Source organism: Homo sapiens, chromosome 10, assembly GCF_000001405.40.
Source record: "Homo sapiens chromosome 10, GRCh38.p14 Primary Assembly".
NCBI lineage: Eukaryota > Metazoa > Chordata > Mammalia > Primates > Hominidae > Homo > Homo sapiens.
The window spans coordinates 17,998,177-18,025,112 of record NC_000010.11 but is presented as its reverse complement, the minus strand read 5'-3'; the positions used below and the strand labels follow the sequence as shown (position 1 = coordinate 18,025,112).

The following is a 26,936-nucleotide window of genomic DNA, read 5'->3' as shown; positions in this document are numbered from 1 at the left end:
CATGGTAGATATTGATTCAACTAAGCAATCACTATAACAGTTATCTAAATATACCAATTAAAAGACAGAGATTATAACAGTGGATCAAGAAACGAGACCAAACTACTTGCCATCTACAAGAAACATGCTTTAAATAAAAAGAAAATATAGATTGTAAGTAAAGGGTTGGAGAAAGGTATATAAGTGGTCGTAGCGATCTTAAATTTCAGACTGAGCAGAATTCAGAGCAAGGATAGTTATCAAAGATACATGGTGTATTACATAATGATAAATGATTTAATACTCCAGGAAAACATAAAATCCTTAATGTGTATGTACCTACCAAGACAGCATTAAAATATGTGAGACAAAAATGGATAGAACTACAAGGAAAAATAGATTTATTCACAACTAGATTTGAAGACTTTAACATTCGTCCATCAGAAATGAACAGAGGGATTTTGGGTCAAGGTGGCTCACTAGAAGTAGCTAGCGTGTGCTTCTCTGAGAGAGAAGACATAGAGTGGCAAGTAAACACTAGCTCTTCAACTAGATCATCCAGGAGGGCATGTTTAGAATCATCAAGGAAGTAATGAGACCCATGGAGAGTGGAGAAGAGTGAGAAAGGATAGCTGCCCACTAGGGACGGAAGTGGACCCAAGGCAGGGTATCCACCAAGGGAAACATTAAGTGAGCAAGAGTGCCTGGGGACCCACTCTTCTTCCATGGACCTATGCAACCCTGGGCACAGGAGATCCCCCTGGCCTCCCCTCAGTTCCTCCAGACTGACATGGAGAGCTACATGGAGTCAGGGCAGAGCCGCTTTTCAGGCCCATGAGGAACCCCAAGGGCCTTGGATTCCTGAACACCATGGCACCAGCTGTCTTAGCTCCACCAAGAAGGGAAGCCAGGCTCTCTTGCAACCACAGTGTTGAGAAGCAGACAGACTACAGGCCTCACTTTCACCAACACCTTGCTGGGCAAAGCCCACTGGCCTGGGACCCCGACACAGCCACCCCACCTCCACCTGGGCACTAGGGCCAGTAGCCACTCTGCATTTCTCTGGGATGCTGATCCCAGAGGTAACCAACAGGCCTGCCCTTTTTGACACTGCTGCAGCCCCCACCCCTTCTGCCCTCAGGCTGCAGTTAGAGCAAAGGGTCTAAGACTTGCAGGCCTCCAGCATACCACAGTTGCCTTATGGAAAAGTGGCCAGACTTCCACAGGGGTCCCTGTCCCTGCTACTCCTCACTGAGCAGTGCCTCCTGACCTGGGTGTACAGAACAGCCTCCTTGTCCCAACCTGGGCACTTAGGTTGGTGGTGGCTCTGCATTTCTCTGGGGAGGAAATCCCAGAGACAACCTAGAATCTCAGCCATGCTGCTACAGAGGAACTACCCTTGCTACCCTTGGGCTGGAAAGAGAATAAAGACCCTGATCACTTTGCTGACACCCCCAGCACACTGCAACCAGCATAAGGAGAGGAGCCCAGTCTCTCTTCCCTGTGAGCCCTTGACTCCATGCTCTTTACCAGGCAGGGCCTCCAGATTGGGCTTGCAGTGCAGCCACCCCACCACAATGAACATTCCCATTGGCAGTGGCTTTGTGTCACTCCATCATGAAGTTCCCAGAGGAAACTGACAGCCCCTCTGCCACTGCTGTAGCAGCAGAACCTTCCCTTACCAGTGCTACCTGGTCCCCTACCACCAGGCTGTGGAAGGAACAAAAAGACTGAGTTCTTTACTCACACCTCCAGCATAACCCAGCTGCCCTAGAAAGGAGAGGCCAGACTGTCTTACCCATGAACCCTCTGACATCCCTGCTCTTTACCAGGCAGCTTGGGCTTGCAATGCAGCCACTCCACCCTGGACTGATCATTCTAATTGACAGCAGTTCTAAGTTTCTCTTGGGTGGAGCCCCAAGAGATAAGTGAAAGGGCCTCTGTCATTGCCACTGTCAAGGTCCCCATCCCTGCTGCCCCCCAGCTGGGGAAGGAACAAAAAGCCTTAGCTTGCTCCAGGGCTGTGATGCACAGCCCCAGAGGGCCAAGCTGAGATCTGTGACCAGCACTCAAGTAGGAGAGGAGCCTACACTCTTAGCACTGAGAAGGGGCATGGATGCAAAAACTAGGAAATACAGAGGAACCAAGTGGCTAAGAGCCTGTCTACTGGTCATTACTCTTAAGCACCATATACTGGATTAGAGCCCAAATTTCAACACCAAAAAATACTACGCTAATATAGACCTCTGTGAAACCAGGGACTAGAATTCAGCCACAAAAAAAGAACTTGCACAAAGCCTTGGCCCTCTGGAAACATCCAGAAATGAAGCTAACCGACCAGGCTCAAATTACACCACAGTTAAAGGAACATCAGCCCACACAGATGTGAAAGAACCAGCACAAGAACCCTGGCAACTCTAAAATCAAAAGTGTCTCCATACATTCAAACTGCCACACTAGCTCCCCAGTAATGGATGTTAACCAGAATGAAATGGCTGAAATGAAAGACATAGAATTGAGAATCTGGATAGCAACAAAGATCATCGAGATTCAAGAGGAAGTTGAAACCCATTCCAAGAAATCTAAAGAATCCAGTAAAATGATTCAAGAGAATGAAAGATAAAATAGCCATTTTAAGAAAGAACAAAAGTGAGCTGATAGAACTGAAAAACTCACTATATAAATTTCATAACACAATCAGAAGTATTGACAGCAGAACAGACCAAGATGAGGAAAGAATATCAGAGCTTGAAGAGTGGTTCTTCAAATTAACTCAGTAAGACAAAAATAAACAAAAAAGAACTAAAAAAAAAAAATAAACAAAACCTCTGAGAAAGACGGGATTATGTAAAGAGATAAAATCTATGACTCATTGGCATTCCTGGAAGACACGGAGAGGAAGCAAGCAAATTGGAAAACATATTTGAGGATACTGTCCTTCAAAATTTCTTCAACCTTACTACAGGGGTTGACATTCAAATTCAGAAAATTCAGAGAAGAGCACCCTTGCAAGATACTATATAAGACAAACATCCCCAAGACACATAGTCATCAGATTCTTCAAGGTCAACACAAAAGAAAACATATTAAAGGCAGCTAGAGAGAAGGGGTAGGTCACCTACAAAGGGAAACTCATCAGACTAACAGTTGATTTTTCAGCAGAAACCCTACAAGCCAGAAGATGTTGTGGGCCTAATTAAGAATCCTTAAAGAAAACAAATTTCAACCAAGAATTTCATATCCAGCAAAACTAAGCTTCATAAGTGAAGGAGAAATAAAATCCTTTACAGACAAGCAAATGCTAATGGAATTTGTAACCACCAGACCTGACTTCCAAGAGGTCCTTAAGGAAGTGCTAAATGGAAATGAAAGACCATTACCTGACACCACAAAAACACACTCAAGTACATAGACTACTGACTCTATAAATCAAATACACAATTATGTCTACATAGCAACCAGCTAACAACATGATGACATGATCAAATCCATACATATCAATATTAACCTTGAACATAAACAGGCTAAATGCTCCACTTAAAAGGCACAGAGTGGTAAGCTGGATAAAGAAGCAAGACCTAAATGTATGCTTTCTTTGAAGAGACCCATCTCACAGGCAAGAAAACCCATAGACTCAAAGTAAAGGGATGGAGAAATATCTATTAAGCAAACAGAAAACAGAAAAGAGCAGGGGCTGCTATTCTTATCTTAGACAAAACAGACTTTAAGCCAACAATGATTGATCAAAAATGACAAAAAGAAAGGGCATTACATAATGATAAAAGGTTTGATTCAACAAGACGTAATTATCCAACCAATGGAACAGGTTAGAAAACACAGAAATAAAACTGTACACTTACAATGATCTGATCTTTGACAAAGCAGACAATAACAAGCAGAAAAGGCCTCTCTATTCAATAAATGGTGCTGGGATGACTGGTTAGCCATGTGCAGAAGATAGAAACTGGACCCTCCCCTTTCACCATATACAAAAATCAACTTGAGATGGATTAAAGACTTAAATGTAAAACCTAGCATTACAAAAACTCCAGAAGAAAACCTAGCAAATACCATCCTGGATATCAGTCTTGGCAAAGATTTCATGACAGAGACTCCAAAAGCAATTGCAAAAAAATCAAAAGTTGACAAGTGGGACCTCATTAAACTAAAGAGCTTCTGCACAGCAAAATAAACTCTCAACTGAATAAACAGACAGCCTACAGAATGGGAAAAATATTTGCAAACTATCCATCTAACAAAGGTCTAATATCCAAAATCTATAAGAAACTTAAATAAATTAACAAGCAAGAAACAAATGGCCCCATTAAAAAATGAGCAAAGGACAGGAACAGACATGTCTCAAAAGATGACATACACATGGCCAACAAGCATATGAAAAAATGCTCTATATCACTAATCATTAGGGAAACGCAAATCAAAACCACAATGACACACCATCTCATACCCATTAGAATGGCAATTATTAAAAAGTTAAAAAACAGCAGATGCTGGTGAGGTTGCAGAGAAAGGGAATGCTAATATACTGCTGGTGAAAATGTAAATTAGTTCAGCCACTGTGGAAAACAGTCTGGAGATTTCTTAAAGAAGTTAAAATAGAGTTACCATTCAACCCAGCAATCCCATTACTGGCTATATATATCCAAAAGAATATAAATCATTCTACCATAAAGACACATGCACCCATATGTTCATCACAGCACTATACACAGTATCAAAGACATAGAATCAACCTAAATGCCTGACAATGGTGGAGTGGATAAAGAAAATATGGTACAAATACACCACGGAATACTATACAGCCATAAAAAAGAAAAGATTGCACCTTTTGCGGCAACATGGATGAAACTGGTGGCCGTTATCCTAAGTGAATTAAAACAGGAACAGAAAACCAAATACCGCATGTTCTCACTTATAAGGGGGAAATAAATATTGACTCAAGAAGGGTATAATAGATATTAGGGCTTAATTAAGGTGGAGGGTGAGGATTGTAAAACCACCTATTGGGTATTACCTTGATTGCCAAGGTGACAAAATTATCTGTATTCCAAATCCCACAATATGCACCTTACCCATGTAACATACTTGCACATGTATCCCTTGAACCTAAAAAAAAATTGGAAGATAAAAAAATGAACAGATCTAGCAGGCAGAAAATCAGTAGACATAGTTGAATTCAGCAGGACATCAATCAATTGGACATAATTGACATCTATAGACTACTTTATCCAACAAGAGCAGATTGCAAATTCTTCCCCAGCTCACGTGGAACATTCAACAAGATAGACCACATTCTGGGCTATAAGACTGACCTTAACAAATTTAAAATAATAGAAGTCATACAACTTCTATTCTTAGATCATATGGATTAAACTAGAAATCAATAACAGAAAGATAGCTGGAAAATACCAAAAGAACTGGAGATTAAATAACATACCTCTAAATAACACATGAGTTAAGAAAGAAATCTCAAGAGAAACTAAAAAAGTTTCGAATGAATGAAAATAAAAATAAAATTTATCAAAATGTGTGAGATAAGAGTGAAAGTGTGCTCAAATGAAAATTCAGAGCATTGAATTTCAGAAAAGAATCAGATATTATATATATCAGAAAGGAATAAAGATCTAAACTCAGAATTCAAAGCTTCCTTCTTAGGAAACTAGAAAAAGAAGAGCAAATTAAATCTAAAAGTAAGCAGAAGAAAATAATGAAAGAGCAGAAATCAATGAAATTAAAATCAGTTAATCAATACAGAAATTCGACAAAGCCAAATCTGGTTCATTGAAAAGATTAATAAAATAGATAAGACTCTGGCTAGGCTAACAAAAAAAAGGAGAGAAGATACAAAGTACTGATACTGGAAATCAAAGAGAGGATGTCACTACAGATTCTGTGGACATTAAAGGATAATAAAGAAATATTAGGAACAACTCTATGCCCCCAAATTTGATAACATAGATGAAATGGACCAATTCCCTGAAAAACACAGTCAGCTAAAACCCACACAAGAAGGAATAGAAAATTTGAATAGGCCCTTATCTAATTCAAATAAGAATTTGAATTAATAATCAATAACCTCTCCAAACAGAAATCACCAGGCCCAGATGGGCTCACCAATGAACTTTACCAAACACTTTAGGAAAAAATTTTACCAATTCTCTAAAATCTCTTTCAGAAGATAGAAGTAGAAGGAATATTTCCTAACTCATTTTGTGAGGCTAGCATTACCCTAAGAACAAAAGCAGGCAAAGACATTACAAACAAAGAACACCAATGAATCAACTACAGACCAACGCTTCTCAAAAATATAGATGCAAGACTGCTGAACAAAGTATTGGCAAATCAAAACCAACAATGTACAAAAGGAATTATAACTACAATCAAGAGGGATTTATTCCAGGTATGCAAGGCTGATTCAACATTTGGATATCAGTTAACATAATCCATCACATCAACAGCTAAAGAAAACAAAATTACATGATCATATCAATAGGTGTAGGAAAAGTATTTGACAAAATCCAACATTCAGTCATGATAAAAACTCTCAGTAAACTAGGAATTAAGGTAATTTCCTCAACTTGATAAAGAACATTTACAAAAACCTATAGCTAAAATATACCTAATGGTGAGAAACTAGAAGCTTTCCCACTAAAATCAGAAGAAAGGCAAGGATGAGCCCTCTCACCACTGCTTCTCAACATCATACTGGAAGTTCCGGCTAATGCAATAAGACAAGAAATGGAAATAAAAGGCATGCAGATTAAAAACAAAGAAATAAGACCGCCTTTGTTCACGGATGACATGATAACTGTAAAGAAAATCTAAAAGATTCAATAAAAAAGCTCCTAGAACACATAATCAAGTATAGCAAGGTTGCAGAATACATGGTTAATATTCAAAAGTCAACTGCCTTTCTCTATATCATCAGTGAACAGGTGAAATTTAAAGTTAAAAATCCATTACCATTTACATTTGCACTTCCAAAAATGAAACACTCAGTTATAAATCTAACAAAATGTGCACAAGACGTACATGAGGAAAACTACAAAATTCTGACAAATGATATCAAAAGACTAAATAAATGGAAAGGTATTCCATGTTCAAGGGTAGGAAGACTGTATATCCTCAAGATGTCAGTTATTTCCAATTTGATGTATAGATTCAATTCAATCCAAATCAAAGTCCCAGCAAGTTATTTAATGGGTATCAACAAACTGATATTAAAGTTCACATGGAGTGGAAGAAATCCATAATAGCCAACTCAATATTAAAGACTGACACTGAAAAATATTGGAGGCCTGACACCACCTGACTTCAAGACTTACTATAATGTTACAGGAATCAAGACACTGCTGTGTTGCTAAAAGAATAGACAAATAGATCAATGGCATATAACAGAGTCCAGAAATAGACCTATATACAGTGAGCTGATCTTTGATAAAGGAGTAAACACAATAAAATGGAGCAATGGCCTCTTTTCAAAAAATGGTGCTGGAACAACCTGAAATCCACTTACAAAAAAAGTGAATCTAGACACAGTCTTACATTCTTCACAAAAAGGTGGGTGGATCATGAGGTCAGGAGTTCAAGACCAGCCTGGCTAACATGGTGAAACCCCGTCTCTACTAAAAATACAAAAATTAGCCGGGCGTGGTGGCATGCACCTGTAATCCTAGCTACTCAGGAGGCTGAGGCAGGAGAATTGCTTGAATCCAGGAGGCAGAGGTTGCAGTGAGCCAAGATCGTGCCACTGCACCCCAGCCTGGGTGACAAAGTGAGACTCTGTCTCAAAAAGAAAAAATTAATTACTTCACAATAAAGCATAGACCTGAATTAAAAATGCAAAACCATAAAAATCCTAGAAGATTAGGATAAAAGAAATCTAGGTGACCTTAGGTATAGCAATGACTTTTCAGGCAAGATGCTAAAGACATGATCTATGAAAGAAAGAATTCATAAGCTGGGCTTCATTAAAATTAAAATGTATTTTTAAAAATATATAAGTAAATAATTTATTTGGGCCAAGCTTCAGGATTGCAATCCAGGAGCATAGATTCAAGTTGCCCTAAATATATACTCCCAAAATTAAAACCTCAGTTCAGTGAAAGACAATGTCAAGAGAATGAGAAGATAAGCCACAGACTTGGGGAAAACATGTGCAAAACATCTGATAAAGGAATGGTATCCAAAATAGACAAGGAACTTTTAAAAGTTAAGAGGAAAACAGACAATTTCCAATTAAAAATGGGAAGACCTGAATAGAGACTCCCCAAAGAAGATGTATGATGGCAAGTAGTCATATAAAAGATGCTTAGCATTTTATATTATTAGTGAATTGCAAATTACAGCAACAATGAAATACCTCCATACACCTATTAGAATGGCCAAAACCCGTAACACTGACAGCAACAAGTGCTGGTGAGGATGTAGAGCAACTGGAACTCTCATTCATTGCTGATGGAAATGCCAAAAGGTACAGCCACTTTGGAAGACAGTTTGGTAGCTTCTTACAAAACTAAACACACTTATCATGTAATCCAGCAATCATATTTCTTGGCATTTCCTCAACAGATTTGAAAACGTTTGTTCACACAAAAACCTGCTCAAGTGTATTTATAGCAGCTTAATCCATAATTACCAAAATTTGGAAGGAACCAAATTTGGATGTACTGCAGTAGGTAAATGGATAAATGGTGATGCATCCAGACAGTGAAATATTATTCAGCACTAAAAAGAAATGAACTATCGAACTGTAAAAAGACAGAGGAAACTCAGATTTGTATTATGAAATGAAGATGCTTATCTGAAAAGGCAGCACACTGTATCATTAATTGCAACTATATGACATTCTGAAAAAGACAAAACCATGAAGACAGTAAAAATAGTAGTGGTTGACAGGGATTTGGGGGAAGGAAGAATAAACAAATATGCAAAACACAGGGGACATTTAGGCAGTGCAACTATTCCGTATGATACAATGGTGAGTATGTGTCATCGTCCATTTGTCAAAACCCATAGAATGTATAAAACCAGGAGTGAAATCTAATGTAAACTATGGACTTTGAGTCACAATGTGTTAAGGTATGTTTGTGAATTGTAACAGATGTATCATTGTGTTGCAGGATGTCAATAGCGGGGTGGTTGTGCATGTGTGGGGACAGGGGACTTATGGGAACTCTGTACCTTCTGAGTAGTTTTGCTGTGAACCCAAAACTGCCCTAAAAATAAAGTTTAACCAAAAAAAAATCCATTTTTCAGTCATGCTAGCCTCATTCAAGGCATAATAGCCACATGTGACTACTGGCCACCATTTGGATAGTGTAGGTGAAAAAAAAAAAAGTTGATTATTTATCTTTAGAAGCACTCTTAACAAGAGTTACACATCCACTTTGAGAAGAATCATCATGATTATGGTTCATTCTGTACTTTTTATGTCCCACCCACATAGTTCTGTCACTCTAAAAATTTTTTTAAAAATAAAAAAGAAGGAAAAACTAAAGCATATTTCGAGTTACTAGAGTGTTTGATGTCTAAGGCCAAACTAGACTGTGCCTTTTCACAGTCTTATTGATACTCAAGACAAGATTTAGTCCAAGCACTTTCTACAATATTATACCACCAATGCACCTAGATTTTTTTCCCAAATGTGATCACTATTATGAAGAATCACTGGAACATCTCCCTAATATCAAACACAGAGAAAAAATGAAAAAAACATCTTTTGAGTATTCACTTATTCACATATTGAGAACAATGTTAATAAGGCATTCAGCTAATTTTTTATCTCAATTTTTTAGAGTCTTTTGATGATTATTGTTAACATGTCAACTAAAAAATGATTACAAAGAGACATGTAACAGTCTTTCCATTAAACAGATATATAGATATATAGATTTAATATGGTTCTTAGTGGTACCCAAAAGTTTATACAGTTTTTGCCCAACCTAATAATCTGTAAAATCCTTTATCCATGCAGTGTCTCCAAGAAAATTTACTGAAAAACTCATCTATGAGATCACAACTTGCTGAAAAATTGATAAATTAGGAAGACCGTTTGGCCTTTACAAATCCAAAAAGTGCATGAACTGCCTTAGTTCATCTTTCTTCTCCCATACATCATCTAGCCATCTTGCTAGTTGTTGTAGTGCTTTACCATGAAGTCAATCACACTACTTTTTTACTTTTCTTGCAGATAGTTAGAAACATGAAACCATACATAGGTTGTCCCTTCACAGCTGTGATCATTATGACACTCAAACTGTAGATGCATCAGATTTGTAAACCTGTGTTAGTCCTAACAAGCAAGGCAGTTTGTACCTGGCATTCACTATCACAAACTTTAAGGAAATACCAGAAAAGTTGCTCTAGTGAACAAGAAAAAAATTCATGCAAGGATTAATTTTGTCATACAGCACAAGGACTTCAAAAGACATGATCCCTTCTAACATTGAAAGACAATAGAGATTTCCTTTATTTATTGTCATAAATGCATATTTCTCTATTCATACAACTTAAAATTGAAGAAGGGAAAAACAGACACTGAATGAGCTAAATTTTGATTTCTGTTTCCAGTGGGTTTCAAAAACAAAACAAGAGGAAAGGGCTTATGTGATTGTTGTAGGATCTTTTTGACTTGTAAATGTGTCTTTAATGTACATATTTTTATGCACTACAGCATTATATTTTAAAAAATACTGCTTGTAGAATACACCTTTCTGTTAAATAATAATTTGTTAAGCAGTAGGTGTATATTTTTTCACTCCCAAGATGTTAAAACAAAATCCAAATATATAAATTTAGCAAAGTTGAAAGACAAAATAAACACACAAAATTAGTTGCATTTATAAACACAAACAATGAACAATCCAAAAAAGAAACGAAAACAAATGTATTTACAATATCATCAAAAAGAAGAAAATACCTAGAAATAAAATTAACCAAAAAAGTGAAAGACTTGTGTACTGAAAACTATAAAACATTGCTGAAAGAAATTAAAAACAAAATAAATGGAAAGACATCTCACGTTCATGGATTGGAAAATTTAGTATTATTAAGATATCAATACTACTTAAAGTACAGACTAAACGTAATCTCTACCAAAATCCCAATCACTTTTTTTAAAAAATAGAAAAATTAACCCTAAAATTCATATGAAATCTCAAAGGATCCTCAAATAGCCAAAACAATCTTGAAAAAGAATAAATTTGGAGATCTTAGATTTCCTGATTTCAAAACTTACTACAAAACTAGAATAATCAGATGAGTGTGGTACTGGCTACAGACAGCCATATAGACCAAGAGAAGAGAATGGAGAACCCAGAAACAAAGTCTTGCACACGTGATCAATTGATTTTCAACAAGGGTGCCAAAACCATTCAATGGTCAAAGGAGAGTCCTTTCAAGAGATGGTGCTGGGGAAACTGGATATACACATTCAAAAGAACAGGCTGAACATGGTGGCTCATACTGTAATCTCAACACTTTGGGAGGCTGAGGCAAGAGGATCACTTGAAGCCAAGAGTTCAAGACAAGCCTGGGCAACATAGTGACATGCCATATGTACAAAAAACATTTTTTAAAATTAGCTGGGCATGGTGGCAGGTGCCTGTAGTCCCAGCTACTTGGGAGGCTGAGGTAGGAGAATCACTTGATCCTAGGAGATCAAGCCTACAGTAAGCTATGATCATGCCACTGTTCTGCAGCCTGGGCAACACAGCAAGACTCTGTCTCTAATAATAATAATAATAATAATAATAATAATAATAATAAATAAAGTTGGATGTTTACCTAATACCATATATAAAAATTAACTTAAAATGGATCAGACCCAAACATGATAGCTAAAGCTTTAAAATTCTTAGTTTGCTTTAACTGTTTAGATTTTTAGCTTATTGTGATATATTTAGCTTACTGTAATATGCTTATTAACTACTTATCTTTTTAACTTATTGTAATATCATTGTTTAGCTTTTTAGCTTATTATAATATAAAGATTATAATATTACAATATTTTTAATAAAGCACCATTTAGGTTAGATCTAAGAACCTATGTGATAATAAGAGATGTCACTTGCTGCCTGGTAAAGATTCATTGTCATTACTTTCCACTAAAAAACATGAAATTCTGAGTTTTGTTTAGATCTCAAAGTCCCTGAGCATAAACTCAGCTCTCATGTCCTCACGCTTCGTTAACAACCACAAACAAATCCATTTTTGCAGGATTTAAGCCCTTTTTTTTTTTTTTTTTTTTGAGACGTAGTCTCACCTTGTCACCCAGGCTGGAGTGCAGTGGTGCGATCTTGGCTTACTGCAACCTCTGCCTCCTGGGTTCAAGCAATTCTCCTGCCTCAGCCTCCTGAGTAGCTGGACTACAGGTGTGCGCCACCACGCCGGGCTAATTTTTGTATTTTTAGTAGAGAAGGGGTTTCACCGTGTTGGCCAGGACGGTCTTGACCTCTTGACCTCGTGATCCGCCTGTCTCTGCCTCCCAAAGTGCTGGGATTACAGGCGCGAGCCACCGCACCCAGCCACCCTTTCAATAGTCTGCAGGGTTTTCTACTTCTAATTTCTTTGTGATGGTTTGCTGTAAACAAGACGGAGGGAAGTCTGGAGTGTCTTTCTTTTAATGAACCTTGCTGACCCTCTGACTGGACCTTGGTGGAGATGGTTACATATGCACAGAGATGAGCTTTTATCAGCCACAGAGTCTTAAAAAGGCCCTCCAGGATTTCCCTTTCTACAACATTCTGGAGAATAAAAATCTTCTCTGGAATGTTTGCTTACAAATATATCAATTCTTGCTTTTAACAATCTTCTGAGGGTTTAATTCAGATAAAAGTTTGGTTATGGCTATCTTGTGCTTTTCCTTTTTTTCATGGAATTCATTTTTTTGGTTGTCCTTTTTGACATCAATCAAAAGAGGGATGTTAGAATATGTTCTATTTTAGAATCATATTTGATTAGTAAGAGTAGAATCCTCAACACTCTGTTGACTCAAGAATCTCCTGAAATCAGGCGGTTTGTTCCCACTGTTTTGAATTTAGGTCTTTTTCAACTAGTATTTATGTTCAATAAACAACTTAACATAGCTGTTTTAACCTTCCTTGTTATTCAAGAAAGCAAAGACCACAGCTCTCAACTTATATGGGATAGCCAACCCGGAGGCTATTCTCAAGGTTGTTTTAAAATCTTCAGCTTTAAAAATTTTATTTGCTGAATAATTCAAATACAGAATCTTATATGTCTATCACTTCCCAGTGGGATCTTCTCAAGGCAATTCATGAAGCAGTTTGCAGAAGATAAATTACATTTTTTTGAAAACTGTGAGTTATAAGATAAAGAGCACATCACTGTCACACGCAATTAGGAGAGACTAAGATGTTACCTGCTTTAAACTTGTATTTAACAATTCTCTTCTCCTTTTTTTCCTTAGGGGAAGTGATTCAGTTAGACAAATTCTTAGTCGTAAAGCTCAGCAAAGACAGATGTCAGCCAGCTTTAGTTCAGTTGAACAATGTGGGGGTTAGGATGCTGATCCCTGCACAGTTGAAAATTCATGTATAACTTTTGACTCTCCCAAAACTTAACGACTTATAGCCTACTGCTGGCCAGAAGCCTAACCAATAACACAATTAACACATATTTTATATGCTCTGTGTATTATATACAGTATTCTTACAATAAAGTAAGCTAGAGAAAAGAAAATGTTATTAAGAAAGTCATAAGGGGGATGAGTGCAGTGGCTCATGCCTGTAATCCCAGCATTTTGGGAAGCTGAGGCAGGTGGATCACTTGAGGCCAGGAGTTCCAGACCAGCCTGGCCAACATGGCGAAACCCCATCTCTACTAAAAGCATAAAAATAAGCGGGCATGGGGGCACATGTTTGCAATCCCAGCTACTCCAGAGGCTGAGGCAGGATAATTGCTTGAACCTGGGAGGCAGAGGCTGCAGTAAGTTGAGATCGCGCCACTGCACTCCAGCCTGAGCGACAGAGTGAGACTCTGTCTCAAAAAAAGAAAGGAAGGAAGGAAGGAAGGGAGGAAATACCTGGAGGGGGCGCCTGGGCTTTGTATTATTTTGTTTTGGGAAAGAAAAGAAAGAAGAAAAGAGAAACGAAATGAAAAGAAAATAAAATCATAAAGAGGAGAAATACATTTACTATTAGTTAAGTAGAAGTGGACAATCATATAGGTCTTCATCCTCATCTTCACATTGAAGGGACGGAGGAGGAGGAGGAACGGTTGGTCTTGCTGTCTCAGAGGTGGCAGAGGTGGAAGAAAATCTGAGTATAAGTGAACCCATGCAGTTCAAACCCATGTTGTTCTAGGGCCAACTGCATTTTTAAAATAACTGCTTTGGAAGATCTGTGTGTATGTGTGTGTATGATCTGAGAAATTAGTTAGAAGAAAAGAGGAACGAGGAGTAGAAAAATACCAGCATTTCTGATGGTCAGTTTCTTTTAATTATAGAGAGAATTCAGCGTTCACCAAAGTTGGCTTAATTACTCATTTTCTCAGTAGAAAATTTCTAAGTGTGGGGTTTGACTGATTTTTACAGAAAGAGAATAGAAGTCTTTCAAATTTGTGGGTAAGAATGATTCACCCTTCTTGCTTTTGTTAAGAAATAATTGTGAATGTTAAATTACATTAATTTTGCTGCCTGAATTGAGTTTTGAATGCTTGCTATTTCTTTCTCAGCCAAAGGATATTTAAAATGATGCCAATGGAACTCATTGATTTTAACTACAATATTTGTTGAAAACAAATACGTATATCAAGGTTACTTCATATGTCTTTTTCAAACAAAATCTCTTCCTGTGGGTGGATGTTTAACAGAAATTACACTTAGGTATTGCCAAACTTCAAAGAAAGGAAGACTTACTCATCTTTTGGATGGAGAAAGGATTCATTTACCAGACCTGACTTGGTGATTGCAGATCTTTGACTGAATTGCCTCGGAGTCTAGATTTCTCTGATAAAGAAAGACTCATTCAAACTCAGTAAATCACAAGAAAAAGAAAGAAAAATGGGGAGGAGGGAATGGGATCAATATTCTAAAAGTCTAGGATTCTAGTTTAGTTTAATTTTATAGTTATATGATGAAGAAGAGAGGAGAAGCCTGGCTAGAAAGGTGGATGTTTGTCACTCAATTAATGTTTTTTTGCTTTTACCCAATTCATGTTCTTGAAGCTGCTACATTTACTGACCTACAATAAGTGTAGAGAGGATGAACTATATTGATAATCCTGTTTATTGACCAGATTGAATACTCAGGTTTGATTTTTGCATTTTTGGATATGTTTTAAAGGTAGAAGATCTTAAATTCATATTCAAAATACCTTTTATCCTGCCTTTCACTTAAGGAAAATTATCTGGAAATTGAAAGTCCTCCAGGCAAAGGTCTGGCTGTGATATTACTTCTGGGCGACACTTCTCACAAGAGGGAAGATAAGTAAATTGCTCTGACTGCTTTTTATTCTTGAGGTTCCTGCTCCCCCCAATCCCCTGCCTGCAAAGTTATTAGATAAGTAAAATAAGGTTGAAGAAACATAAGGGATAGTCTTGGAGAGGAAATGAAGTTTTTAAAGAGCATCCAAAAAACGTGAGGGTGGGGGAAGAGATCTAGAACCCTATATGGTGAGGGAGGTTGATGGGGGAAGAGGGTTTGAAATTGGATATTTCCCCTATTCCAATTCATTTGCCTTGGATACACCTGGAGGGGGCACCTGGGCTATGTTTTATTTTGTTTTGGCATGAATTGGACAGGTACTTCCTTCTCCATTAGCTCCCTCCCTAAGTTACAGCTCCTCCATCAGCTTGGGTTCTATTAATGTACTAAATTCCTGGGCAGTTGTCCAGTTCCCCCCATTGTAGGGACATCTCTAGTTACATCTACAGTGATAGCCCCTTGAGGTTTCTATAGTCCTGTTGCTATGGAAACACCATTTTGGCAGGATCTAAAAACCCTAGGAAAAATGCCTAAAGGTTTGAAACATTGCTTCAGATCCAAAATAAACCCTCCCTTGGCATAACCCATTTACATTTTTTTAATTAATTAATTTATGCTTTAAATAACAAATTATATTAGTTAAAAATAAAGTCTCTCTTATCCAAACGCTGGAAAAAGACAATACTTTGAGGGCTTTTTTTTCTATTTGAGCAATTTTTATAAACTTTAGAGAAGCTGGATTTAAGAAATCCTCTAGATTTCCAATTCTGAGAATTTTCTTAGGCGGAACATTCAGCTCTCAGACAAAATGAGATGCTCTTACACAGCTGCAAGAAAGTAAAGAGAAAATTAAATGCAAAGTAAGAAGGAAGGAAATAATGGCGATTAGGAGAGAAACAGTACCAAATTATAAAGCAATTGATAGATAGGTATTGCTAGTTTTTTCACTTGGTGTATTTATGCTCCCTGTTCCTGTAAACTTAGGTACTGTCAGACCACAGATCCCTGTTCCTGGGGAGAATGCACCAGGGAATACAAGAAAGTAGTGGTCCACAACCTTTTTGGCACCAGGGACTGGTTTCATGGAAGACAATTTTTCCGTGGACCGACGGTTGGAGGTGAGGGTGATAGTTTCAGGATGATTCAAGCACATTACATTGGTTGTGTACTTTATTTCTATTATTATTACATTGTAATATATAGTGAAATAATTATGCAACTCACCATAATATTGAATCAGTGGGGGGCCCTAAGCTTGTTTTCCTGCAACTAGTCGGCCCCATCTGGAGGTGATGGGAGATAGTGACCAATCATCAGGCATTAGATTCTCATAAGGAGTGTGCAACCTAGATCCCTCACATGCGCAGTTCACAATAAGGTTCACGCTCCTGTGAGAACCTAATGCCCCCGCTGATCTGACAGGAGGCGGAGCTCAGGTGAGCAATGCAGAGCGGCTGTAAGTACAGATGAAGCTTCGCTTGCTCACCTGCCGCTCACCTCCTACTGTGCGGCCTCGTTCCTAACAGGACCAGGGGTTGAGAACTCCTGCAATAAAGTTTCCAGTCAACTTGAAACTATCACTACCACTTGCTCATTTGGGGCTCCCTATATTAGTGGATCAACCAACAGTGAAGAAAGTTACTATAATGGTAAGAGTAATTGTTAGTGATTATGTCAGAGGCATGTGAACAAGAGTAATCCATCTTGAATAGGAGCTGGGTAAAATGAGGCTGAGGCCTACTGGGCTGCATTCCCAGACAGTTAAGGCATTCTACATCACAGGAAGAGAGAGGAGGTCAGCAAAAGATACAGGTCATAAAGACCTTGCTGACAAAACAGTTTGCAGTAAGGAAACCAGCAAAGTCTCACCAAAACCAAAACGGCAATGAGAGTGACCTCTGGTCATCCTCACTGCTACACTCCCACCAGTGCCATGACAACTTACAAATGCCAGGGCAATGTCAGGACATTACCCCATATGGTCTAAAAAGGGGGGGGAATGAATAATCCAACCCTTGTTTAGCATATCATGAAGAAATAACCATGAAAATGGGCAACCAGCAGCAATGGGGTTGCTCTGTCTATGGAGTAGCCATTCTTTTATCCTTTTACTTTCTTAATAAACTTGTTTTTTCTTTGCACTGTGGACTCTCTCTGAATTCTTTCTTGCACAAGATCCAAGAACCCTCTCTTGGGGTCTGGATTAGGACTCCTTTCCTATAACAGTTACCATGAGGAGTTAGGGGTGCTGCTGCATGGTGAGGAGAGAAGGAACACAGCTACAAATTCAGATTTCTTGGAGCATCTCTTGGTGCTTCTTGATGCCTGGTAACAATGGTCACCAGGCAACTAGAGGATACACAGCCTAACAAGGACAAAGCAGTGAACATTCAGATCCTTCATTGAAGACCTAAGTTGCCCCTCCCAGGGTTGGGTTGATGTAGATCAACCCAAGTGCTGCCTGGAGCTAAGGAGGATCAGGATTGGATGCTGGAGAGCAGAGATGAAGAATATCAACTATGGCCTCAGGGCCAGCAGGGTTTGGAGCTTCTTCCACTTATTGTTTTCTATGAAGTCTTTGTGGTATTTTGGCTGGCTACCACCACGAAGGGACTTGGGGAGAGATGGGTGTTAAGAGGAAAGGAGGGCATTTGAGGAGTGGAAGGGGCCAACCGTTAATGGACATCACACGTGTGCTATTTCAGATGCACTCAGCCCCATCTCTGACCCCAGTCACTGCTGCAGAGACCCATTCCAAGGAGGTGTTGATTGGTTTTGCAGAGTCTTGCCTCTGGTTCACACTGCATTCCTCTTTCTCCTGCCCTGGGCTTCTTTGATGTGATGGCTTGAGCCCCTTTCCAGGAATGCTCTTAGTACTCAGGTGTGTATAACCTGGAAGTGGAGATGGGGAGATAATGCTGGCAGGGCCAGTGTTGAACACAGGGACAAGAGCCTGTAGATAAAGCCTCTTCCTTTCCCAGGTAAACTATTCTGAGGCATATTTCTTGAGCCTCATCAGAAGGTCCTGTGTGATGGTGTTCCCATAGTCCTGGTCAACTTAATAAAAACACAGATGGTATTGACCTTTCTTCCTTCTCTGTTTCAGTTTGCCGGTCCTTCACTTCTGCTCCCTGGGATCACCTCCAAAATGACTTGCTTTCACCCTGTCCTTTGTCTTCCCAGCTGCTTTGAAGGAAACCCAGTCTAGGACACTGATCTTCATAACAGAGCATTAATTTCCTCTGGCCACCCAGAGAGGCATTCATTCTTAACTTCCTTTAGCCATGCTTCAGTGCAATTTGGAGTTAGTATACTTGAATAAGCCAATTCTACTTTGGAGAATTAAGTTTGGCACTTTTCCCCAGAAAGGACTTTCTTCTTTGCTGACCTCATTGCTAATGGCCTCATTTATGTCTCTAGTTCTTCTTCTTTTGGGAGTTTGAAATAACACACCCAATTTCTTTAAAACAAACAAACAAAGATCTAGCTAGTCTTTTCACATTAACCTTGTTCAGAAGGTACCTGGTCAATATCCAGGATTTAGCAATTAACTAGTATATTCCATCTAGTGTTCCCCTTTACCCCTTAGTTGCTGCATTTATTTTCTTTACTGTTTCAGAGTCTTTGCAACCTTGTTTTCTTCCCTTTAAATGACCGACTATTTTCTTTGGCATGGCCCCAGAGAAAACCAACAGTTAAACTTATTGCTATGTGAAAGAGCTGCGTTTGTTTAGAAGTTGCTCAGAAGGCCGTGAGAGCAAGCGACCTGGATGATAGGAAGTAGCCCCGGGAAACTCACAAGTATTTTTTTTTTTCCTGTCTTTCTGCCAGGATGCTGGTTTTTCCTCGGCTAATAGCCATTTGCAATAGGGTCAAGATTTATGCCAGCTGGAATCTCACAGGATATCAGTCACATTGCTTTCTTCTAAGCAATTGCTTATGCTTACAAGAAAAGGAGCAGGAACATTGAAAGGAAAATGACATACTTAGCTTAGGGTTCTGCATGACAAATGGCTCTTGATAACCTTCCCCCGTCAATTCTGGGAGAGTAGACAAAAGCAAAGAAAACAAATTGACTACAGACATCGACATTCATCCTACTTGAAGAGAGAACCAGTCTGTGTGAAAAACAGAGTAAACTTCAAAAGAATCCAGCAATTGCCCTGAACTGACCCATAAAGAGAAATTAGAAATCGAAAGTTGAAAATTAGGAAGCTCAAGAGTGAATCTGAGGACTGATGTGCTCCACACATTACCTTCAAGACTGTTTAGTTTAAACAAAGTATAGCTCATTTCATTAAATGGTGAGTGACTGTGGTTTCAAAGTCACAACAAAGCTGGAAATACAGATTTCTCAAGTTGAAAGAATCGCAGGATTCCATAACATTGACCTCAGGTTGGGGGATAGGTTCAGAAAAAGGGGTAAAATTTGCTCCACTTTATTTTTTTAAGTTCCGGGGTACATATGCAGGTTTGTTAAATAGGTAAACGTGTGTCACAGTGGTTTGCTGCACCTATCAACCCATCACCTAGGTATCAATCCTAGCATGCATTAGCTCTTTACCTTAATGCTCTCCCCACCCCCACCCTCCCCCGACAGGCCCCAGTGTGTGTTGTTCCCGTCCCTATGTCCATGTGTTCTTATCGCTCAGCTCCCACTTATAAGTGAGAACATGCTGTGTTTGGTTTTCTGTTCATGCATTAGTTTGCTGGGGATAATGGCTTCTAGCCTCATCTATGTCCCTGCAAAGGACACGATCCCATTCCTTCTTATGGCAGCGTATTATTCCACGGTGCATATGTATCACGTTTTCTTTACCCGGTCTGTCACTGATGGGCACTTGGGTTGATTCCATGTCTTTGCTATTGTGTATAGTGCTGCATGTATCTTTATAATAGAATGATTCATATTCCTTTGAATATATACACAGCAATGGGATTGCTGGGTCAAAATTTGCTCCACTTTCACTTTACTATCAAAATTAGAATGTTCTCAGAGCATCACAGATAATATATAAGAACATTTCTAAATATGGAAGGACATTTGGTGTTTACCTCATCTGCATGCATCTCATAAGAATTAAGAAAAACATCCGGAAACTCAGGAGCCTTAGAGTGGGGTTTAAAAATGGCAGGGTTTACTCTGAGAATCCCCTTACTAAGACTTAACTTCAACAACGCACTGCTATTCTGGTTCTATTAGCACAGGTTTCTGCCTCCTGTATTTTTTTCCTCATGAAATATTTCTTTTACTTCCAGGACAATGGTTGGATTCTGCTTCATTAGTAGTCAATCTCAATGAATCTGTTCCACATATTACCTTCAAGGTTATTTACTTTTTCTTCTCCAGGACACAGGTAATAACATATCTGACTTTTACACAGCCTGATTTCAGCCTTAAGTACCTCTTTTGTTAATTAATTTTATTTTTATTTGCCATATTCCAACCCATGAGAAGGGATAATCAATATGATTTTACCTTAAGATATTTTTAAAGTTGTAAACAAGCCCAATAGAGAGTGACCTTCAAAAAGACTTTTATCTTAAGGAGACCAGAATTTAAGAAGCAAGACAATGTGAAATTTCCCAGGTTCAATTCCCTCATCAGGTTATACAGAAAGAAAACTAATGACTGAGTTATCATTAAGGTCAGCAAGGACCTCTATAGGAAACATACGTTGCAATTTTAGAAACCAAATACTATAAAAATCTTCTTTCTCATTTCATCAGCGCAATTGTCCTTTTGGCAATTCAAACTTCAAAGACGTAATCATTATTTAAAAAACACATTTGGTTAATTAAGTCAAACAGTGATTTAATTCAATGACAAATTCAGTTGAATTATTTTCCATTGTATAAATAAAATAGCTGGCTATTTAACAGAACTTTCGCATTGTATAAATAAAATAGCTGGCTGATTGACAGAACTTTTCATTTTCAACTGGAAATACAGGCATCATATATAGGTACAAAGCTGGAATCGAATGAGCTGATGATTACTTTTTGAAGATTATGAACATTTCATTCTTTCCACTTAAAATCACTAAAAGAAAAAAGTCTTACATGCAACTGCTATCACACACCTGTCACTTTAACACTACAGAAAATGTCAGTATTTTCTGTACCCAAATTATGTTCTTTCTGCCCAGAATGCACTTTCTTGGAGTACAAAGAATATTCCTTAATGGTTTATATTGTTTTATAAATTCTTCTGTTCTACTCATTTATCCTTCCATTTTTACTGTTTTTTTTCTCTGTTTTACATTTTCAGTGCTTAGAAAAATCAAATAGAAAAGCCACCAAGCTTACCATTTCAACCAAGGATAAATATAAGAACATCCCAGCAGTGACTGTGAAGATCCAGTCTTGAACACATGGATCAGCTGACACGGAAAGGCCAATGTATAATCCCATGAAGGCAGTTAGGGAGCTTATAAAATTCATCAGGATGGCAGTCTTCATAGAAAGTCCAGAGCTTAAGAGCACGGCAAAGTCTCCTGAAGTTTAAGAGGAAAGGAAAATATAATTATCATTTAATGGAAGACGCCTTTGCTAAAGTAACGCACTATTAGCTATTTCGAATGTCAGCACTGGAACCAATTTTATAGGTAGAGTTGAGTGATCAGTAAATAAAATGCTTTCCTATATTTCTCTAGAATTCATAGCCCATTCATCGTACTATTAGGAAGTTGCATTTCAAGAGTTCCATTCCTTTGGCTGCTCCTAAAGATTGTATCTACAGAGAGGTCTGTGACATATTCTTGAGTTCTTGATATCCTCTGACATTTCCAACTTAGATAAATGGAAAATAGTCACTCACTGTCCCAGGGTTTCTAAATCTTTGGGCCTGGAAATTTGCCAGGTGAAATCATGACACTATATGGGCTTTTATTATTTACTTATGCAGAAACTGCTGTGGGGAGAGAAAACTACTTAATATGAGATTTTTAAAGCATTGTAAAAGTTGGTTAGGAAACAAATTTTTCCCTTTAGAAAATGATTATAGGAAAATGATCTCATTCTCTCCATGCCTTCCCTCCAAGAGAAGATTGACCTGTTAGTAAATCTGAGAACATCTACTTCTTAGTTTGGGGGATTGAGACTAAAATTCAATAGACAGCTTGGGGACCCAGTTTTCTAGTTCCATTGCATAATTGTTCCCATGAACGGGGCTTGAAACATCTCTGCTGGCCTGCTGCAGACGGTCACACTGCCCTGTGGCTTTGGGTTGAGGACTGGGGGCTACATCCCTGTTACAGTAGCAAAACTCAGGACCACAGATAGGGGATGGCTTCCAGACCAGGTGCACTTTAATGAGCCCAGGGAGGACCTTGGATAAACTGCTCCAAGAAGGATAGGTCAATAATGAGTCAGTGTCAGGACTTTGAGCAACGGACTCCAAGCACAAGAGGGCAAGCGTTTCCTAGGGGCAATGTAGGTGCGAAAGTGGAAGCAGAGAGACTGCGAAGAGCCCTCTCCCTTGGGAGCCTATGCCAGACCAGCCTCTACTATTTCTGGGTCTGTTTCAGAAACGTCTGTTCTAACCCATCTTGCGTCCTGGGAGGCAAAGAACAGGGCTATATTGTTCTCACTTATTTGTGGGATCTAAAAATCAAAACAATTGAATTCATGGAGTTAAAGAATAGAAGAAGGTTACCAGAGGCTGGGAAGGGTAGTGGGGTGGTAGGGGAAGGTGGAGGTGAGGTAAAGATGGTTAATCACTACAAAAAAAAAAAAAAAAATAGAATGAATAAGACCTAGTATTTGATAGCACAACAGGACGACTACAGTCATCATAATTTAATTTGTACATTTAAAAATAACTAAAAGAGTATAATTGGATAGTTTGTAACACAAACAATAAATGCTTGAGGGGATGGATACCCAATTTTGCATGATATGATTCTTACGCATTACATACCTGTATCAAAACATCGCATGTACTCCATTAATACATACAACCACTATGTACCCACAAAAATTAAAAGAAAAAAAGTTACAGGGCAACTAAGATTATCCAGAAAAAGAGATTTATGAGAATCTGCCACCACACACCTGTCATTTCAATGCTAGGCTTGGCTTTAAACATTTTGTATAAGTCAGGTTGATGAAACCATGGTTTGGTTTTTTGTTTTTGTTTTTGTTTTTCTTTTTGAGATGGAGTCTCACTCTGTTGCCCAGGCTGGAGTGCAATGGCTCAGTCTCAGCTCACTGCAACCTCCACCTCCTGGGTTCAAGCGATTCTCCCACCTCAGCCTCCCAAGTAGCTGGGGTTACAGGCCTGGGCCACCACACCTGGCTAAGTTTTTGTTTTTAATAGAGACGGGGTTTTACCCTGTTGGTCAGGCTGGTCTTGAACTCCTGTCCTCAGGTGATCCACATGCCTCGGCCTCCCAAAGTGCTGGGATTACAGGTGTGAGCCACTGCGCCCGGCCGGTTTTAATTTAAATGTTATTTTATCTTACTGGCCCATGTGCTGACATGATGGATAAAGTTCCCCTCCTAATATTTTTCTCACATTTAATATGCAGATTTTAAAGTCCCCATCAAAATTCTTTAAAATATTTCTCTGAATGACTGTCTCCCATATGGAATTCTCTGGAATCCAAATAGAGTCATTTCTGGCCCTGGGAAACATCATAAAGGAGTTTAACTGGATTTTATTCCAAGGTACAGGAGTTATTTTTCTAGTCCTCCTCTTCTTATGGTTTAAATAAATTATAAAAGGAAAGTATTCATCTTTAAGTCATAGGTTAGAAAAAGAATCCTAGTAAACCATAGCTGGAAAGATGTTATTTCTTTCTCAACAGGCCAGAAACAGTAATTCCATTGTTGAACTTACCCATTTCATGTGGGATTTCATGACACAAGATAGCAATCGTAGTGGTCACTCCTGACTCGGATGATGATGAGAAGGCTGCTCCTATGGCTAGGCCATCTGCAAAATTATGCAGGCTGTCCCCAACCAGAATCATGATTGCTAACAAGCTAATGGCTTTACCTAAGGAACCAAATAAACACAGAAGAAGCATTAACAGAGCACTACATATTTCACCAAATCCTTCAAAACCAACCAACCTTCCCACCTACACTTGACATTCTTATATTCCATCTGATTAAATAACATCACTTTGTTTCCGCAAAAGTCAGGACTAGAGATTCAAGTGTGATAACCAACACACTTAAACGTATGGTCACTGTTTTGCTAACTGGTCTAATGAGATAAATTACATGCTGGCATAAATGATTTTAACATCTTATGCAGTTATGCCAACACAAGAAAGTAAAACCCATGTTATAGCCTCCCCAAGTACCACTGATGACCTTCCCGTCTGTCTTTTGCAATGCATTTAAAAATAATTTAAGAAACTTGCTATAGACTAAATGTTTGTGTCTCTCCAAAATTCATACGTTTCTACTTATTCCCCTAGCGTGGTGGTATGAGGAGGTAGGGCCTTTGGGATGGAATTAATACCCTTATAAAAGAGATGCCAAGGAGTTCCCTTGCCCCTTCTGCCACTTCCCACTGCAGGAAGGCGCCATCTACAACCAGAAAGTTGGCTCTTGTCTTGCACCTTCATCTTGGACTTCTAGGCTCCAGGACCATGAGAAAGAACTTTTTGTTGATAAGCCATCCAGTCTATGGTAGTTTGTTGTAGCAGACCGAGTGGGCCAAGACAAACTTCCCAGTGGAATGTCATTAAAATGGAGTGTATTTCCCAAAGCTGTTCATTTGAGTCAGACTGTTCTGTGTCAATCTAGGGCAGTGTGCTTTCTGTCACTGTGTGATTGTTTTGGTTCCCTTTCTGGTGAGTGCTAATGACTTCCCTGAAGCGCCCCATTCACTCCCCATTGTGACTTCAACGGAACCACGACCAACGTTTCTGGCCCCAAAGTTAGCTTTGGAATAATTTCTCAAAGTTTTCTTCTTTCTGCAAGATAACTTTCAGCACTAGGCCAGTTACATGTTGAACAAAATAAAGAGAAGCTTCTGTCTTCATGGAATTCGATTGCATAATATATATCATCTGGTCAGGAGAGAGCCAATGAAATAATTTTGATCATAATTGGGTTCAGCTTTTTAATGGACAGAACTTCTGTTCTGAAAGTTCTAAATTGTATGTTAGCATAACTCAATTGTAGAGTTGAACGACTCACAAACATGAAAAGTATATTGAGCATAGTACTTATTTTGGTAGTAATCTGCCTAGGTAGACCACTTGATAAGAAAAGTCATTAATCAATTGTCATAGTCTAAACTTTCATTAATTATTCAGTTGCATATATATTGTGTGACAGGTGTAAGTAGTAGTTACTGTTACTGTTAGAACTGAATGCATAATGCTTCCTTTTTTTTTTTTTTTTTTTTTTTTGAGATGGAGTCCTGCTTTGTTGCCCAGGCTGGAGTGCAGTAGCATGATCTAGGCTCACTACAACCTCCGCCTCTGTGGTTCAAGCAATTCTGTCTCAGCCTCCCGAGTTGCTGGGACTACAGGCACATGCCACTATGCCTGCCTAGTTTTTTTGTATTTTTAGTAGAGACGGGGTTTCACCACATGGTCAGGCTGGTCTCGAACTCCTGACCTCCAGTGATCCACCCGCCTCGGCCTCCCAAAGTGCTGGGATTACAGGCGTTAGCCACTGCACCTGGCCTAATTCTAATAATTGTGCTCAATAAAAATTCTAATTATTCTAATAATTGTGCTCAATAAAAATTCTAATAATTCTAATAATTGTGCTCAATAAAAATAGAAAGAGGATACTTCCTGGTTTCGAACTGTTACATGGCCTAAGACTACAAGGGGGATTGCATTATAATGTGGTTTGCCATCTTATTTGGGGAATATGATTTGATTCATATCATATCCCACACTGTGAGATAAATAACTTCAGTAAATACCAGATATAACCCAAATTACCGTCTAGGAGATAGCTCCATTTACTGTGTTTCAAAGATGGCCTGTGTATTTTACTTCTAAAAATCATGGGTATTTAGAAATATCACTGTAGAACTAACTTACATCCTTCCTGTGGTTCACTAACTTATTTTAGTCCTTGCTAAAAAGGGAAAGATTTCAGGCAACAGCCATAAGAACAAAGAATAAATACTGAATTCTTGAATTCAGGGAGTTCTTATTGACATTGCCTGGAAACTCTCAGAAACCAATAATGCTACTAGATCATTTAACTGCTCCTGCCAATTTTCAGAGATAAAGCTCTTCTTTGTGAAAGGAAATTTAAAAAAACTTAAAGTGATACATTTGACAACACTGCAACATGCAAATAAACTTGTAATTTCCACATGCCTATATGTAGCCTTGATATTAATAGCATATATTCCAAAGGAGGATTTTTAGCCAATATTACACTCTGCTAGAAACCAGTGTGGCCTATTTTTGCTATTATTTTGTTATCTCTGATCATGGGTTTCTAAATGTCAGATCGTGGATAGGTAACAAGCCACAGGCAAATATAAACATTTGCATGTAAG

At 38.5% G+C, this 26,936-nt stretch overlaps 1 protein-coding gene and 1 long non-coding RNA gene across 5 annotated transcripts in view; one reads left to right on the top strand and one right to left on the bottom strand.

The window, feature by feature from the left end:
* The window catches only part of SLC39A12 (solute carrier family 39 member 12), a 91,368-nt gene that overhangs the window by 18,173 nt on the left and 46,259 nt on the right, over positions 1 to 26,936 (bottom strand). For all 4 annotated transcript variants that reach the window (NM_001145195.2, NM_001282733.2, NM_152725.4 and 1 more), the window contains 2 exons: positions 24,288 to 24,446; positions 21,755 to 21,942 (listed from right to left, as the gene is read on the bottom strand). In NM_001145195.2, the coding sequence (NP_001138667.1) occupies positions 21,755 to 21,942; positions 24,288 to 24,446 (347 nt within the window). The remainder of the gene's footprint in view (positions 1 to 21,754; positions 21,943 to 24,287; positions 24,447 to 26,936) is intronic.
* On the top strand, positions 14,551 to 23,327 carry SLC39A12-AS1 (SLC39A12 antisense RNA 1). The gene is made up of 5 exons (NR_038419.1): positions 14,551 to 14,584; positions 15,360 to 15,448; positions 16,430 to 16,563; positions 20,705 to 20,802; positions 21,717 to 23,327. It is a non-coding gene; the product is annotated as an SLC39A12 antisense RNA 1 (long non-coding RNA).